Raw genomic sequence first — 19,230 nt, 5'->3', positions numbered from 1 at the left:
TTTATATCACACCAGACTACACAAAACACAAAATATGTATGCACACACACAAACACACACAAATTGGAACTATTTTATGAAATAGGACTTATTACTCTTATATCCTATGTCCTTTAATATATTCAAGTCCATTTAATTCTATAATTTACATGCTGGTCAAAATCCACTAAATTCACTGTATAAGGCATTAATGAACCTCGGATATATATTCAGACCTGAAATTGCTGAGTGAATGCATGACTATGTGAATCTCCAACTCTCCATTGTAAAACTGCTATTTTAAATCACTCTCCAGCAAAAAAAGAAAGCACAAAAGGTCCCTAATGTCTAACATCCCACAGCAAATTCCTGGGTCTCTCTCACAAGGCTTCCCATGACTCACCCACCTCCCTGACCAAATTGTCAACACTCAGTCATTAACCCTTTGACAGATCTCCCCATGCTCCCACAACACACATTGCTTGTTCCTGTCTTTGCTCAAACTGTGCCCCCTGACTGCAACACTCTTTTTCTCCCACTCTGCATAACTGATACCTATCTCCCCCACATGTATTCCAAGCTACCCCAGCCCCATACTGCCCTTGAACATAAGCCTCATTTAAAAGCATCACTGGCCAGGTGTGGTGGCTCACGCCTATAATCCTAGCACTTTGGAAGGCCAAGGTGGGTGGATTGTTTGAGCCCAGGAATTCGAGACCAGCCTGGGTAACGTGGTGAAACCCATGTCTACTAAAAATACAAAAAATACAAAAAAATTAGCCGGGTGTGGTGGCACATGCCTGTAGTTCCAGCTACTAGGGAGGCTGAGGCAGGAGGATCACCTGAGCTTAGGAGGTCGAGGCTGTGGTAAGCAGAGACTGCATCACTGTACTCCATTCTGGGTGACAGGAGTGAGACCCTGTCTCAGAAAAATAAATAAATAAATTAAAAAAAATTAAAAATTAAAAAAAATAAATAAAAGCACCAGTATGATATTTCCTCCTAATCTTCAGCTGTGTCTCACTTTTCCCAATGACAAGATTCTTTTTTTTTTTTTTTTTGAGACGGAGTCTCGCTCTGTCGCCCAGGCTGGAGTGCAGTGGCGCGATCTCGGCTCACTGCAAGCTCCGCCTCCCGGGTTCACGCCATTCTCCTGCCTCAGCCTCCCGAGTAGCTGGGACTACAGGCGCCCGCTACCACGCCCGGCTAATTTTTTGTATTTTTAGTAGAGACGGGGTTTCACCATGTTAGCCAGGATGGTCTCGATCTCCTGACCTCGTGATCCGCCCACCTCGGCCTCCCAAAGTGCTGGGATTACAGGCGTGAGCCACCGCGCCCGGCCATGACAAGATTCTTGACAATGAGATTCTTGACAATGAAACTATGCCACAGGGAGAGTACTGGTTTTAGAGGTAGAGGATCTCATTCTTGAGTCAAAAGTCCCAGCTTCCAAGCCACTGGGTGTGTTACCTCAAGTTAATGTTTTAACCTCTCTATCTGCCATTTTCTTTACCTATAAAATGAAAACATGGTAAAACTGTTTTTTGGTTTTTCTTTTTTTTTTTTCTTTTTTTTTTTTAATTTTTTTTTTTTATTATACTCTAAGTTTTAGGGTACATGTGCACATTGTGCAGGTTAGTTACATATGTATACATGTGCCATGCTGGTGCGCTGCACCCACTAACTCGTCATCTAGCCTTAGGTATATCTCCCAATGCTATCCCTCCCCTCTCCCCCGACCCCACCACAGTCCCCAGAGTGTGATATTCCCCTTCCTGTGTCCATGTAATCTCATTGTTCAATTCCCACCTATGAGTGAGAATATGCGGTGTTTGGTTTTTTGTTCTTGCGATAGTTTACTGAGAATGATGGTTTCCAATTTCATCCATGTCCCTACAAAGGACATGAACTCATCATTTTTTACGGCTGCATAGTATTCCATGGTGTATATGTGCCACATTTTCTTAATCCAGTCTATCATTGTTGGACATTTGGGTTGGTTCCAAGTCTTTGCTATTGTGAATAGTGCTGCAATAAACATACGTGTGCATGTGTCTTTATAGCAGCATGATTTATAGTCCTTTGGGTATATACCGAGTAATGGGATGGCTGGGTCAAATGGTATTTCTAGTTCTAGATCCCTGAGGAATCACCACACTGACTTCCACAATGGTTGAACTAGTTTACAGTCCCACCAACAGTGTAAAAGTGTTCCTATTTCTCCACATCCTCTCCAGCACCTGTTGTTTCCTGACTTTTTAATGATTGCCATTCTAACTGGTGTGAGATGATATCTCATAGTGGTTTTGATTTGCATTTCTCTGATGGCCAGTGATGATGAGCATGTTTTTTGGTTTTTAAAAGAGAAAATGAGATCACAGCTATAAAAGTGCTTTGAAAACTGTAAAGGGTCAGAGATGGGCTTATTCCTATGTGCATTTTATATCTTCCATAGGGCCTAGCACTGACTAGGCATAATGCTTGTTGGTTGTGATAAGCAGCTTCCTTTAACGAATGTCAACAGCTTCATGAAGGAAACACAGAATAGTGTGGTAGGCAGAATTCTAAGATGATCCCCAGATTTCCTGCTTCTGCTGTACTGCATACCCTGGATAATCCCACGACTGTGAATGTGTTGGAGTTTGCTCCCACAATTAGGTTATGTTAAATGGCACAGTTGACCTTCAGAAAAATTATCAGAGTGGCCTGACCTAATCACATGATTAAAAGCAGATAGTTTTCTCTTTCTGGTCACAGGTTTGAAGTATGAGAAGGATTTAGCATGCTGTTTCTGATTGAAGACAAAGGGAGCTATGTGACAAGGAATGTGGGTGGCCTTTAGGACTCTCAAAGCATCCCTCAGCTGAGGGCCAACAAGGAAATGGCTACTTCAGTCTTCCAGATGCAAGGAAATGAATTCTGGCAACAACCAGTGAGCTTAGAAAAATATTCCAAGCTCTAGATGAGGGTGGTGCCCTGGTAAATGCCTTGATTTCAGCCCAGTGAGACCGTGAACAGAAAACCTAGTCATGCTGTGCCCAGACTTCTGACCTATAGAAATTGTGACATAAAACATTTATATTGAGGGGTGTGACATCAGCAAGATAGTAGAATATGATCCCAGAGATAGTCCCATCAGCCAAGAGAAAGTCTTTATCTGCCAGAACCAGATGGAAAAGACTAGAAGAGGTATCTGCCCCTTCAATCCAAGGCTACATGAATTATGAAGAATCAGGCAAAAATGACACCGCCAAAATAAACTAATAGAACATCAGTAACCAACCCTAAAGAAATGGAGGTCCATGAACTGCTTGACAAAGAATTCAAAATAATCATCTTAAAGTTAATGAGCTACAAAAGAATTAGATAACTAAATGAAATCAGAAAAATAATACATGCATAAAATTAGAAGTTTGATAAAGAAATACAAACTATAAAAAATCCTGGCACTAAGTAATACAACGACTGAACTGAAAAAAATCAATAGAGTGCTTCAACAACAGACTCAATCACGCAGAAGAAAGAATTGGTAAGCTCAGATACAAGTCATTTGAAATTATCTAGTTAAGAGGCACACACACACACAAAAAGAATAAACAAGTGTAAAGAAAGCCTACAGGACTTATGGGACACCATCAAGTGAACCAATATATGCATTATGAGAGTCAAAGAAGGAGCAGAGAAAGAGAAAGAGGCAGAAAACTTGTTTAGAGAAATAATGACAAGAAACTTTACAATTCTGGGAAGGATATTCAGCATCCAGGTCCATGATGCCCAAGTAACCCCGAACAGACTGAACCTTAAGAGATCTTCACTGAGACACATTATAACCAAATTGTCAAAAGTCAAATACAAAGAGAGAATTTTCAATGCAACAAGAGAAAAGTGACTCTTCATAGACAAAGGAAACTCCATGAGATTATAAGTGGATTTCTTGGCAGAAACCTTGCAGGTGAGGAGACAGTGAGGATATATTCAGAGTGCCGAAAGGAACAAACAACCAACCCTGTCAACCAAGAATACTATATCTGCTAAAATTGTCCTTCAGAAATTACAATGACAAAGAGATTTTCCCAAACAAAAGTTCATTATAATTAGGTCTTCCTTACAAGAAATACCAAACAGAGTTCTCCAAGTTGAAACAAAAAGACACGAATTAGCAATATGAAAACTTTTAAAGTATAAAACTCACTAACAATGGTAAGAATATAGTCAAAAATCAGAATAACCCAATATTGTAATGGTGGCATATAAATTACTTTTAATTCTGGTATAAAGTGAAAAGACAAAATAGTAAAAATAACTATGGCTACAATAATTTGTTAATAGAGATACAACATAAAAGTTATAAATTGTAATATCAATAACATAAAATATGGAAAACAGAAGTTAAAAATGTAGATTTTTAAATTCAATCAAAGCTTGTTATCGGCTTAAAATAGACTATTATAGATATAAGATGTTTTATGTAAGCCTCATGGAAATCATGAAGATAAAAACTAGTAGACACACAAAGTACGAAGAGAAAGGAATCAAAGCCTACTACCTCAAAAAATTGTCAAATTGCAAATGAGGACATCTAGAGAGGAAGAAAGGAAAAAAGGAACTAAAAAACAGAAACAATTAACAGTAAGTTCTTAACTATCAATAATTATTTTAAAAGTAAATAGATTAAATTATCTAATCAAAAGACATTGAATGGCTGAATGGATTAAAAAACAAGATCAACTATACATTGCCTATCAGAGATTCATTTTAGCTTTAAGGATAAACACTGGTTGAAAGTGAAAAAAGTCAAGGCTGGGCATGGTGGCTCATGTCTATAATTCCAGCACTTTGGGAGGCCAAGGTGGGCAGATAATCTGAGGTCAGGAGTTTGAGACCAGCCTGGCCAATGTGGCAAAACCCTGTCTCTACTAAAAATACAAAAATTAGCTGGGCATGGTGGTAGACGCCTGTAATCCCAGCTACTTAGGAGGCTGAGGCAGGAGAATCACTTGAACTGATTCAAGTGGAGGCTGCAGTGAGCCGAGATCATGCCACTACACTTCAGCCTGGGTGACAAAGTGAGACATTGTCTCAAAAAAAAAAAAAAAAAAAAAAAGAAAGTGAAAAAAAAAATCCACGTGAATGGTAACCAAAAAAGAGTAGAGGTGACTATACTTAAAATAGACTTTAAGTCAGGAACAGTCAAAAGAGACAAAGAAAATCATTATATGATGATAAAGGAATCAATTCATCAAGAGAATCATCAAGAGAATATAATAATTATAAATACATACACACCCAACATTGGAGCACCCAATATTGACAGAACTGAAGGTAAAAATAGACAGCATTACAATAATAATAGGGGCCTTTAGTACCCCAGTCTAACTAACAGTAAACAGATCATCCAGACAGAAAATCCATAAGGAACAGTGGACTTGAACAACACATAGACCAAATGGACCCAACAGACATGTGCAGAACATTCTACCAACAGCAGCAGAATGCATGTTCTTCTCAAGAGCACATAGAATCTTTTCCAGGATAGAACATATATTATGCCCAAAACAAGTCTTAACAAATTTAAGAAGAGTGTAATTATATCAAGTATCTTTCTGATCAAAATAGTATGAAACTAGAAATTGCAGAAGAAAATTGAAAAATTCACAAATATGTGGAAATTAAACAATGCACCTCTAAATCCACTCTTGAACAACCATCAAGGAAGAAATCGAAAGGGAAAATAAAAATACATATTAATACAAACAAAAATGGAAACACAACATATCAAAACTTATAAGAGACGCAGCAAAAGCAGTTCTAAGAGGAAAGTTTATAGTGACTGTGAAAAAACAAGGATCTCAAATAAACAACGTAACTTTAGAAACTTTAGCTCCTCAAAGAACTAGGAAAAAAAAAACAAAGCCCAAAATTCACAGAAGGAAGAAAGTAATAAAGATTATAGCAGAAATAAATGAAATAAAACTAGAAAAACAACAGAAAGATCAATGAAACTAAGAGTTGGGTTTCTGAAAAGACAAACAAAATTGACAAACCTTTAGCTAGACTATAAGAAAAGAGTCAAAGGCTCAAACAATGAGAAGTGAAAGCGGAGAGATTATAACTGATATGACAGAAACAAAAAGGATCCTAAGAGACTACTATAAATAATTATATGCCAAAAAGGTGAATAACTTGGAAGGATAAATTCTGAAACATATACCACCTACTAAGACTAAATCATAAAGAAATAGCAAATCTGAACAGACCAATGATAAGTAAAGAGATAGAATCAGTAATTCCTCTCAACAATGAGAAGTCAAGATTGGATGGCTTCACCAGTGAATTCTACCAAACCTTTAAAGAAGGATTAATGCCAAAGTTTCCCAGACCCTTCAAAAAAACTGAAAGGGAGAGAGCATTTCCAAACTCTTTTTATAAGGCCAGCATCGATATTCTTGATAGATACAGATGCAAAAATCCTCAACAAAATACTAGTATACTAAATTCAAAACCACATCAAAAGGAACATGTACTACAATCAAGTGGTACTTATCCTTGGGATGCAAGGAAGGTTTGACATGTGCAAATCAAGACGTGATATACCACATTAACAGAATGAAGGACTAAAGTTAGTTATATAATCCTCTCAACTGATGTAGAAAAAAGCATTTGACAAAATTCAACATCCTTCATGATAAAAACTAACAAATCAGGTATAGAAGAAATATACCGCAACATAATATGGCTATATATGGCAAGCCCACAGCTAAAGCCATACTCAATAGTGACAAATTGAAAGCTTTTTCTCTAAGATCAAGAACAAGACAAGGATGTCCACTCTTGCCACTTCTATTCAACATAATACTGAACTACTAGCTGGAGCAAGTAAGCAAGAAAAAGAAATAAAAGGCATCCAAATTCGAAAGGAAAAAAATCAAACTGTCTCTGTTTGCAGATGACATGATCTTATACATAGAAAATCCTAGACCCTAACAAAAAAACCTGTTAAAACTAATAAACAAATTCAATAAAGTTGCAGGATACAACATCAGCATACAAAAACCAGTTGCACTTCTATACATTAACAATGAACTATCCAAAAAGAAATGAAGAAAACAATCTCATTTACAAAAATGAAATACTTAGGAATAAACTTAACTAAGGAGGTAAAAGATCTGTACACTGAAAACTATAAAACATTGAAGAAAGACAGTGAAGAAGACAAATAAATAGAAAGATCTACATTCATGGATTGGAAGAATTAAAGATGTCCATACTACCAAAAGTGATCTACAGAGTCAATGCAATCCTTATTAAAATTACAAAGGCATTTTTCACAGAAACTGAAAAACAATCCTAAAATTCAAATAAAACCACAAAAAATCCTGTATAGCCAAAGCAATCCTGAGCAAGAACAAAGCTGAAAGTATCACACTTTCTGGTTTCAAAATATTATAATGCTACAGTAATCAAAACAGTATGGTATGAACATAAGAAACAGACTTATAGACCAATGGAACGGAATAGCCCAGAAATAAACCCACACGTTTACAGTCAACTGATGATCTTCAACCAGGGTGCCAAGAACACACAATGGAGAAAGAATAGTCTCTCAGATGGTGCTGGGAAAACTGGATGTCCACATGCAGAAGAGTGGAATCAAACCCTTATCTCTACACAAAAATCAATGCAAATGGATTAAAGACTGAATTGTGTAAGATCTGAAACTGTAAAACTACCAGGAGAAAAGAGGAAAAAAGTTTTTTGACACTGGTCCAGGCAATAATATTTTTTTGTTGCACAGGCAACAAAAGCAAAAACAGACAAGTGAGATTGCATCAGACTAAAAATCTTCTGCACAGCAAATGAAACAATCAACAAAATGGAAAGGCAACCTATGGAATAGAAGCTAATATTTGCAAAACATATATCCTGATAAGGAATATAATATCCAAAATATATAAGGGGCTTGACTCAGTAGCAAAAAAATCAAATAACAGAATAGACATTTCTCAAAGTAAGGCATACAAATGACCAACAGGTACATTAAAAGATGCTCAATATCACTAATCACCAAGGAAATGTAAATCAAAACCAGAATCCAACATCACCTCACACTTGTTAGAATAACTACTGCCAAAAGACAAAAGATTAAGTGTTGGTGAGAATGTGGGGAAAAGGAAACCTTTGTACATTGTTGATGGAAATGCAAACTGGTATGGTCATTAAGGAAAACAGTATACAGGCTCTTCATAGCATTAAAAATAGAATGACCTTATAATCCAGCTATCCCTCTTCTGAGTATATATCCAAAGGAAATGAAATCATTACCTTGAAGAGTCATCTGCACTCCCATGTTCATTTCAGCATTATTCACAATAGCCAAGATATGGAAATAACTTAAGTGTCCATTGATGGATGAATGGATAAAGAGAATATGGGGTGTGTGTGTGTGTATATATATAACACACACATATGTGTATATAAGTAGATATATACACACACACATATATATGTATATAATGGAATATTATTCAGCTTTAAAAAAGAAGAAAATCCTGCCATTTGCAATAACATGAATGAACCTGGAGTACATTATGCTAAGTGAAATGAGTCAGATACACAAAGACAAATACTGCATGATCTCACTTATAGATGGAATGTAAAAAAAGTTGAATTCATGAAAGCAGAGAGTAGAATGGTGGTTACCAGGGCCTTGGTGGTGGAACTTCATGTTGGAGAGATGTGGAGGTGTCAGTCAAAGGGTACAAAGTTTCAGTTACACAAGATAAATAATTTCTGAAGATCTAATGTACAACATGGTGACTATAGTTAATGATACTGTATTGTATGCTTGAAATTGAGTAGATCTTACATTTTCTCACCACACACACCCACACAAAGATGTGAGGTGATGGATATGTTAATTAGCTGAATTGTGGTAATCATTTTACAATGTATATATATATCAAAACATCACATTTGATACCTTAAATATATACAATTATCATTTGTCAATTATATGTCAATAAATCTGGAAAAAGAAAAGCTTAGACTCTGGAGCCTAACCGCCTTAGAGTCTGCCATTTAAGGATTTAACTTCTTTCCCAATGTCACTTCTTACTTTATAGTCTAGACAAAGCCTACATCTCTCCATATCTCTCTAGCGTTTCAAGTCCAGCTCGCAGGTCACCATGCCCATTTCCCTGAAATAATTTTCCTCTCCTTGGAACTATCCTAGCATGACATCTATACTTCTTACTGCCTGCTGTGTACAAATTACATGTATTCTTTTTTGAAAACTCTCTCTTGGGAAAGCACAAATTTCTTAAGAGCAGGATATTATTATGTGATTTTTTAATATCTCCAATTAGTCACAGTGTAATTTGCATCCTGTGGTTGCTTAATAAATGCTAGGTGAATGACAAATTCGTCATTCGATGCTGAGCATCACCCTCCTCAAAAAAAAAACCCCACCGTTTATGTGTTTTAAGCCACTAAATTTGTGGTAATTTGTTATATAGTGATAGAAAACTAATATACATAGAGTTGGGCAGGTTTGGTCACCAGCTAGGTTTTTAATTGCTCTACTTATAAACAGGTGTCTCTCATTGCTATTGTTTTACCTTCCAAACCATGGTGTCTCCAATATTTTGAAAGCTATAAATGGGAAATAAAACCCAAGGGTTGAGGGCAGAGGAGAGATACATGACCCAATTTGAGGGGATCTACCATGTGGAGGCATTTACTACAGAGTGGAGTAGAATCACCCTTCAAGAGTACAGTAGCAATCTTTTCTCAGTCCCAGGGAAGTGACTTTAATCAAATGACAGATCTTCTGACCTGTGTTAACTAAGGCTGAGAAATGGAATTTAGATGGTAGAATTATTATTTTTCACACCTATGCTCTCCCTCTTCTGGGGACTTGTTTACTCAAAGGGATTTCCAGTTCCCTTTCTCATCGGAACTCCATAGGCTTCTGCTACGCAGATGATCATGAGAACAGGCGTGAGGAGCCCCTTCTCAGGAGGACATTCTGGCTCTCGGTAATGCTCACACACAGCTGGCCTCAAGCAAGTTAACAATAGCTACTGTACAACCATGAAGAGCCAGCTGTTATGGAGAATACAAAAGAAGTAAAGTAATAACACTGCCTTACCTAAATCCAATTTATCCCCAAATTTATAAAGGCAACTTATCTTAAACTGAAAACATAATTACTGCTAGTTTGATTAAAAAGTTAATGCACTCACGCCTGTAATCCCAGCACTTTGGGAGGCTGAGGTGGGTGGATCACGAGGTCAGGAGATCGAGACTATCCTGGCTAACACGTAGAAACCCCATCTCTACTAAAAATACAAAAAATTAGCCGGGTGTGATAGCTGGTGCCTGTAGTCCCAGCTACTCGGGAGGCTGAGGCAGGAGAATCACTTGAACCCGGGAGGCAGAGCTTGCAGTGAGCCGAGATTGTGCCACTACACTCCAGCCTGGGCGACACAGCAAGACTCCGTCTCAAAAAAAAAAAAAAAAAGTTAATGCAGTCCAGAGTCCCCCAAGTCAAATTAATGTATGCAAAGATAACACCAAATATCATTAAAACAGTGTTCATTATTTACTATCATATATTATCACAATATAACCTAAACAAGTATTTTCTATTTATTATTTAGTCTATCGAATGGCTGTTTACCTGCTCGTCGTAGGCCACTTAAGAAGAGTACACTTAAGAGTATACTATAGGCTGGGCGTGGTGGCTTACGCCTATAATCCTAGCACTTTGGGAGGCTGAGGCAGGTGGATTGCCTGAGCTCAGGAGTTTGAGACCAGCCTGGGCAACATGGCGAAATCCTGTCACCACCAAAAAAGAAAGTCACAAAGTCACAAAGCATGTTTATGGATTACATTATACAAAGTTTATATAATTTAACCATTAAAAAAATAAAGTCAAAAGAAATCAATGGCAGAATCCAAATGACATGACACTTATCAAACAGGTTGACATCATAATGAGCATCATCCTTGCTATAAATTAGCAAACCTCGAGTCACCTGTTAAGAAGGGCACTCAGCCAGATGTTGGTGCTAGCTACCCCACTGCCAAGATAACCACCTGGAGTCTACACTGCCGCTTACAAGATGCACCAGTGCAGAGTTTATATATATATTCAATTTATCAATTGTGTGTATATATATTCATTATATATATAATGAATATATATACTATATAGATAGATATAATGTATATATATACTATATAGATCGATAATGTACACAGACACAAGGGTATAAAATCCAGTGAGAAGGGCTCACACATGCCAGGTAGGGGAAGGGAGCAGTGGCTTTAACTGCCAGGGTTGAGGCCACAGTGGAGGCACACAGGAAATGGTAGAGAGTAGCAGCCTCCCTCCATCGGATCATCTGAGGACAGGAGTTTGAGCCCAGCCTGGCCAACATGGTGAAATCCCACCTCTACTAAAACCGCACACGAAAAATTAGCCAGGCATGGTGGGCGCCAGTAATCCCAGCTACTCGGGAGGCTGAGGCAGAAGAATAACGTGAACTCAGGAGGTGGAGGTTGCAGTGAGCCGAGATCATGCCACTGCACTCCAGCCTGGGCAACAGGGCAAGACTCCGTCTCAAAAATAAAATAAAATAAAATAAAATAAATAAATAAAGGTTGCACCAGTCCACAATGGCTTTCATAAATGCCAAGACAGACCCCTTAGAGCTGAATTAGGGCATCAAGTGAAAGTTTTAGTAACGCCAAATGGTTGTAAACCAAAGAGACATAATTTCATAGTATGTACTTCACAGTTTCGAAAGCATTTCTCCATCTCCAAAGCTTCCCCATATACCAAATTTATTTCCAGCCTCTGTGAATCTGAAAACTGGCTTTCACCCCCTCACAGTCTCCTATCCTCCTCGTATTTTACAACTGTCAAGCCCCAGAAAGTTAGAGACCTTAGCCATCATGTTTAACATGTGAGAAGCCAAGGATTAGAGTGGCAAACAGCCTGTCTTCTGGCCATCTCTTTGCATCTCCTCTAGGAAAGCTTTTCTAACTCCCCCAGAACACACAGATCAGTGGATTAGTCAATCAGCAAGTATTCATTGAGCATGTCTGATGTCCTGGCACTGATCGAGAGAAACTGCAAGAGATTTAAAACAACATACAAAACAAAATTTCCTTCCACAAAAGGAATTACAGTCTAGTTCAGCACACAGGTGAGATAATTTTGAATATGAGAAATACTTAATAAAGTACTAAAGGTTTTTTTTTTTTTTGTTAGGACAATCATGTAATATACTCTGGAGACATTTACAGTTCATACTGCATAATCCAGTACTTTCCAAAAATACCATTTATTATATAAAACATTCTATTTATTTAAAAAGTAATTGTATATCACTCCAATATAGGCTTTTGGGAGCTCTGAATAAAAGACATTATAAGGTTGATAAAAATGGAAGAAACCAGGAAACAGAAAAGATATCAAGCTTAAGGGTATAACAAAGCTGTTCTGGCTGAGTACAACACCTGACTTTGAGACCACTGGTAGCCAAGGCAAAAAAGGTAACATGTTATCTTTTTATCTGAAAGGGGGAGAAAAGATAAATTCAAAGGAAATTAGAAAGGATACTAAAATTTCCTTAACGTCTACTGTGTGATATAAGAGAAAGTGTCCTTAACACTGAGGCAGGAGAATCACTTGAATTCAGGAGGCAGAGTTTTAGTAAAATCAAATGGTTGTCAATCAAACTGACATAATTTCATAGTATGTACTATGTACATGACTGTCCTAACAAAAAACAAAATGAAGGCAGAAGTAGATTTTTAATTGGCTGTTTCATCTTTCATAAAAGCTAAGAACATAGTAGCAGAATGTAGCTTTCTGGAGGTGACGTGTAGAGGGGCCTGAGCTGAGGTCCAAGTATTTTGACTTGCTCAAAGAGTAGATTCAGAATTCCCAGTGAGAGGGGAGGAAGGAGAATGTTCCTTAAACTGTTTTCCTAAACATCTTTAAAAACAAACAAACAAACATGGTTTTTAATAGGAGCTCAACTGCAAATGCTAACAGGTAGTATTTTCTGTTAAGGTCCTGATGCATGCAAATGTATTGAGAAAGATTATACTAAATATTTTTCTCTTATTCAACCACAGGTTTTCAGAATATTGGATTTTATAGAACAAAATTTCCAAAAAGAATTTTGAGGGCTCCATGGATTTGTCCACTTTTTATTGTCAAGTGAGAACAATTTTTTTTTTTTTCCACAAAAAAGACTACTATCTAACTCTTACTATCCTTTCATAAAAGACATTTTAATACCAAAAAACTGCAGAGGACATAATCTCATAATAAAAGAGAAGTGATATAAATGAACAAATTTAGCTTCATGTAAGACTCTACAATAGTCTTCATTTTCACACTTTCCTCAGGGCCAGTGCAAACGGCATTGAGAAGGATTTAGGAACCTCTGACCTAGATTGTAAGTATCTTGCAGGCAGAGCCTAGCCCACAGACAGACAACTTTCTAACTTTTTTCATTCCTTTGCCAAATATTTGTACACTCAACACCATATAAAGTAGACTTTTTTGTTGTTGTTGTCGTTGTTGCTTTAGAGGGATTATTCATAAATTTCCTACAGTCCTCTGGAAAGTCCATATAACTAGCAGCTCCACTTTAGAGACAATAATGAGGGAAGGTCATCTAGTGGTAATACACGTAACTACAGGCTTTCCAAAATAATCTTTCTAGAATTCAGTTTCCAGGTATGAATTTTGGCTCAATGTAGGACTTCAAACACAACTTATTAAAGACGAAGAAACAAAATGTCCCGATTTCCAGTGCATTTCTGGGTATATGAAGGTACTCTTCTTGTTCATTCATTTTAGTGATTTTATTTATCACCTACTGTATTCAAACAGGATTTTAGGCAACTTACAAAGTATGCAATTCAAAGCTACCTTCTAGTTTTTGCTCATCACTAAAACAAAATAAAACTTAAAGTATGTACAGATGAGATCTGTTTAAAGGAATAATAATATGAAGCTAAAAGTGAAATCAGTGCCAAAATACATGTCACATGGTCTTTGTATTTGCTGGTGGTAGATCACATATTCAGCCTTAAGCTTTCCAGCAGACAACTTGAAGAGAGAAATCCATTGGCTTCCTAAGTTACAAATCCATAAAATTGAAAAAACCAAACAAGCCCAGCTTTAGAGAAGTCTAGGTTTGCCTAGTGCTGAGACAAGAGAGTAATCTCTCCCATGGTGCAGTAAAATGAACAATGCCCTCAGCAACAAGCTGGTAGTAAATACGATAGTGAGATGCATGAGTTCGGTTTCCTATAACTTCCTCTATATACGGCTGATGCATCGCTAAAGCCCCAAGCATAAAGGTAATTCCACAGAAGACTATAATGCTGTGGTCCAGGTATGCAGCTTCTGCCAGTCCTGCTTGGTCAGAACATATTCCAGGATATCTAGAGAAATGGACTAGATTGTAACAGTTTCAGGCAATCGCTATGGTAGATTACAAAAATGGCTATACCTGTTCATGCCTTTCCATATCAATTCCTGTGGAAATGTGACTTTGAAGCTCCTCCTGTGAAGAGATGATCACGGTCATGTATGAGATATAAGACCTCATGTTTAGAGGTCTTGTATCACCTCTAACCTGGGCACTACAAACTGAGGCTCAGACAGACAAACGGACTGCTCAGGGTCACATAGCATGATGCCAGAGATGCAAACCTATGTGTGACAGTCCCTTTGACATCCTAATGCCCACCTTCATAGCCATCGCTGCTGACTTAGTTAGTGAAAGGAGATTCAGGACCCAGTTATTGGTACCATGAGGATCCAGGTGAGGATGGATCCTTTTTAATTGGATGGATGGTACCTTTTTAATTATATGATCTTGGTTTAGTGTTTCCAAAACTTAGTGTTAGGTATCATGAGGATCTAGATGAGGGAGTCAGCATACCTTTTAATTATATGAAAAATAGTTTAGTGTTTCCAAGCCTCATTTTGCTTGTCAGCAAAAGGGGATGACAATAATATCTACCAGGGTTGTTGCAAGGTTCAAAACTTGAGCCTATCATAAATGTTTGCCATTGCATTGACACACAATAGGGGCTTAATAAATGTTGAATGCATACATGAAGGGATGCATTACTCTCTAAGGCATATACTTGAACTAAGGGCTGTGGCTCACCATCAGACACTACAATACAGGGTCAGTCAGCAAATATTCACTGACTGTCTACTGTGCACTGAGGTACTGCGATACAGTAGTGAGCTAGAGAAGTTCTGCGCTACTTTCTCAAGAATTGAAATTATGGTTTCGCCTCTTCAGTCAATACCCATCTGAACTGCAGGCATTCACTCCGACTTCTCTAAAATCCTCTATGGAACATTTTAAAAAGATTAAAAGCCCTTCATTCAACAGACATTCATTAGAATCCTTGCTTGTCCTAGACACTCCAGTAGGTGCTGGGGAAACAGCTAAAATCAAAGTAATCAAAGCGACACAATTAGTATTAAGTTACTAAATGAAGTCACAACTAGTGAGGCTGCAGGAAATCAATCAGAGCTCATATTGACATTTATTATAGCTCATAATCCTTCAGAAACAGTTGATTCATAACCTACCTCTACAGCAATGGAGAGCATATGAATGGAGCACATTGTAGAAGGGAAATTAGATTATCCTATTCCCCAAAGAGTAATTAATTTATACAGTGGATTTGAGGAAATATTTTTACATTAAAACAGTATGGTGTTTAACTTATTTCACAGGTGGCATTTGAGGGAAAAAGGGAACTATTGAATAGAACCAAACTGTGTAATTCACAAAGCACAGATTAAAGTTTTGAAAGGTCTAGAAACATTCCTTTGGCCAATTGGTTCCTGAAGTCAAACGCCTTTTCAAAGCTACCTTCTAGTTTTTGCGCTTCACTAAAAAATGAAGTTTCTTCGGTCCTTGGATTTCAGATTAAAAATTTTCACCCACGTCCCTCCTAAATGTCTTTCTAAGAGGATCCCTATCTTCTATTCTCACTGCCACCACCCTTGGCATTCCCTGCCTGGATTCGTTTAACAACTTTTCCCAGATTTAATAAATACTGGGCACCTACTGCATGTCAGGCACTGTGCAAGGCCCTGGGTGAGCAGTAAACAAGTCATGATTCCTGTACCTAGGAGGCTCGGATTCCTCACCCACCAACTCTCCCCAGAAACCCTAAGTCTGTTGTCCCTCCTGCAGATGCCACAGTGTATTTCCCAAAGTGCATGTCTGCCAAGCTCAGGCCTCTATGTGTAACCCCTAGCAGCCTCACGAAGTCTTTGGGATGAAGTCGTCCTCCTTGGTGGGGCATCAAAGGCCTCTCAGGGTATGCCCTCTACAGACTTCTCCAGGAACAGCTCCTGGCATGCCTTCCCAGGTATCTTAAACTCAGGCCAGAACAAAGACCTGGCACATACCTAACCCTGCCAGGCTCCCTTTCTTGACATTGTTTGCCTTTCCTGGAATGACCTCTCCTTTCCCCTCCCAACCAACCTCCTTCCTGTGTGTCACTTTGTTCTTTGAGAAGTAGCTTGAGTCAGCTTCTCTTGGAGAGTGTTCTCCCCACCCCTAACCCTACTTTCCGACTTGGAAAATAAAACACACAGAATCCTAAGATTATGCTGAACCAACTTAGTATTTGATGACTCAGCAAGCCCTTTTGGACTCCGCTGTCTTCAAGGGGGTGGCTCCTAATATTAAGTATCACATTAGTAGACATGATACATGCCCAGCGCCAGAGCTCCCCACCCCTCTCCCTGAGGGCAAGCCAGTGTCTCTTCTTTCTTTACCCTAGAGCCAGCCCAGTGCCAGGCTGTGCTTTCCAGCATGCAGTGCAGTTCCCAGCATGCAGGGAAGAAAGTGGTATACTGTGTAAGTGGCTACCTTGCAACAGCCACTACTACAGGTGAGTTTGAAGTAAAAAGATAGAAACAATCTACAATCCCAGCACAAAGGAAACAATTAAAATAATTGCTTCACCCATAGTATTAAATGTTATTCAGCTATGAACAATCAAGGTTTTGAAGACTATTTAATGATACAGGAAAACTGCTCACTATTTAATATAGCTACTCTCACCCAACTGGAAATTCACATAATTGGCAAGGGTTGAGGATAAATAGCTAAAGATTTTGTAAATCCAAAATATAAACAACAATAAGCTTGTTGTGGTAGGATTTTATTTTATTATAAATAGCTTTTTAAAATTTTTTCTCTGCAATATCCATCCCTGTTTCTCTCTCTCTTTCTGTCAACAATAAACATCAACTACTTTTATAACAAAAGATAAATAAACATTTTAGGAGAGAGAGGTTAGGATTGGCAGAGACATGAAGCAAATGAAAAACCCCACTCTTCTAAGATGCTGAAGAAAGAAAATATAATTAATAGGGATATTGCCAAGGCAGCTCATACATGGTAGGTTAGCTAATAAGATAAGCTGTTTGTGGCCAACCCCAGCAGCTGAATCTCCCATTGTCATGAAGGAGGACAGATGGCCACACAGAGATGCAATATTGTACAGTTTAAAAGATCAGCGTGGGGGAATAAAGCTTGTCTGTAGGTAAAGGTGAGACTTCCTATAGATTCTAATGCAACCATTACAACTAAATTTGAAGGAAGGGTTTCCATCTCATTTGGCTGCTCTATCTCCTGCAGGGCTCAGAGGAGAATCCTGTCCACAATAGGTACTCAAAATGTGTTCTAGGGGCTAAATACAGGCATTTTTCGAAAAGCATACCAGACATCTGGGGATTTGGTGAGGCGACCTTGCCTTAATGCAGTGGGAACATGGAAATCACATTTTGAAATATAAGCCCAGGGATCTCTTTTTTCCATTAAATAAGGAATTTCTTGGGATTTGCTAAACATTTCTGTTTTATTCAACACAGAAACTTTCAGGCAAAGGGATGCCAGAAACAAACCTGGAGCCTAAAGCCTGGGCCAGGGTTTATTTATCTAGGCATAGGAAACGAGCATGCGGCATTCTACCCCTCAGGGAAGCCCTTTCACTGAGACCCGGCTAACTTGTAAGAATTCAAGATGTGTCCATGTGATTTTTGGGCTCAAGAGAAGTTTTAAAAGGAAAAAAAAAAAAGTGAGTTCTTCAGCAGGTCTAGTTCCAACTTCTGGTGCTTTCCACTTTGAATCCCTTCAAAAAATCTATGGAAGACAAAGTATCAAGGAAGGAACAATGAAACATGTTCCGCCGACACGGTGGAAATGCCCCATAGGACACCTCAGGCTCATAGGGAGTTCTGACGTCTCACAGCCTTTAATTCACAGCCCACACACCCTAGCCCCAAGCAGGCTGGGGCAATGGTGAAGGTTCAATGATCCACAGAGGCGCAGCCACGTCTGTACCACAGAGCAACTGCTAATGTGAAAATGACTGGGAACACCCTGGAGTGTAGTCTGGGAAACTGCCTGGAGCCACAGACACCCAGAGATGAACAGGCTGTCACAGCTGGAATGAATCTTCCCAGACAAGTCATCAACCTTCTTATTTTCCAGTTGAAGACACTGCCACTCTAGGGAGAAGAAGGACTCGCCCAACACCACACAGCCACTTAATGGCAGGCCCAGGAGTAGACAACTCACCTGAACAAACTCAGCTTAAGATCCTAAAGCCAAATGTCCATATTCCCATCACCAGGGTTTTGCTCCCAGATTATGAAGTAGTGTAAAATGTGTATCTGATGGTGAAACTCCGTCTCTACTAAAAATACAAAAAGTTAGCCAGGCGTGGTGGTGTGCACCTGGAGTCCCAACTACTTGGGAGGCTGAGGCAGGAGAATCGCTTGAACCCAGGAGGCAGAGGTTGCAGTGAGCCTAGATGGCGCCACTGTACTTTAGCCTGGGTGAGATAACAAGACTCCATCTCAAAAAAAAAAAGAAAAAAAAAGTATATCTGAGTAATCTGGATTTATATTCCGGGTGCAACAATGATTAGAAATGTGATCTTACTTTCCTCATATAAAAATATTTTCCTGACCAATATCTCTCATAGGGTTGTTGTGAGCAATTAAGTAACAACACAAACGAGAAAGCCATTTGTAAACCCCAAATTCTACTTTTAAAATATAACTGGCTTTACCTGATGCATGGTGTTCTTATGTCATAATTACATTGGTTAGGTTAGTGCTTGGCATATAAGAAGTGTTCACTGATGTTAGGTGTTATTAATTGTTCT

The 19,230-nt window shown here is 38.4% G+C and overlaps 1 protein-coding gene across 9 annotated transcripts in view, besides 1 other annotated feature; it reads right to left on the bottom strand.

The window, feature by feature from the left end:
• The window catches only part of THSD4 (thrombospondin type 1 domain containing 4), a 686,490-nt gene that overhangs the window by 194,038 nt on the left and 473,222 nt on the right, over positions 1 to 19,230 (bottom strand). Inside the window, exon 2 of one of the 9 annotated variants that reach the window (XM_017022584.2) lies at positions 14,523 to 14,576. The exons of the other annotated variants lie outside the window; for them this stretch is intronic. Coding sequence (XP_016878073.1) covers positions 14,523 to 14,576 — 54 coding nt within the window. The remainder of the gene's footprint in view (positions 1 to 14,522; positions 14,577 to 19,230) is intronic. 9 annotated transcript variants of the gene reach the window in all.
• Positions 16,342 to 16,636: an enhancer, noted in NCBI's record as "tiled region #7020; K562 Activating non-DNase unmatched - State 23:Low". NCBI's record gives its function as "activates a minimal TATA promoter and a strong SV40 promoter by Sharpr-MPRA in K562 cells {active_cell/tissue: K562}" and the evidence as "EXISTENCE:reporter gene assay evidence [ECO:0000049][PMID:27701403]".

Source organism: Homo sapiens, chromosome 15 (assembly GCF_000001405.40).
Source record: "Homo sapiens chromosome 15, GRCh38.p14 Primary Assembly".
NCBI lineage: Eukaryota > Metazoa > Chordata > Mammalia > Primates > Hominidae > Homo > Homo sapiens.
This window is presented reverse-complemented; position numbering and strand designations above follow the sequence as displayed.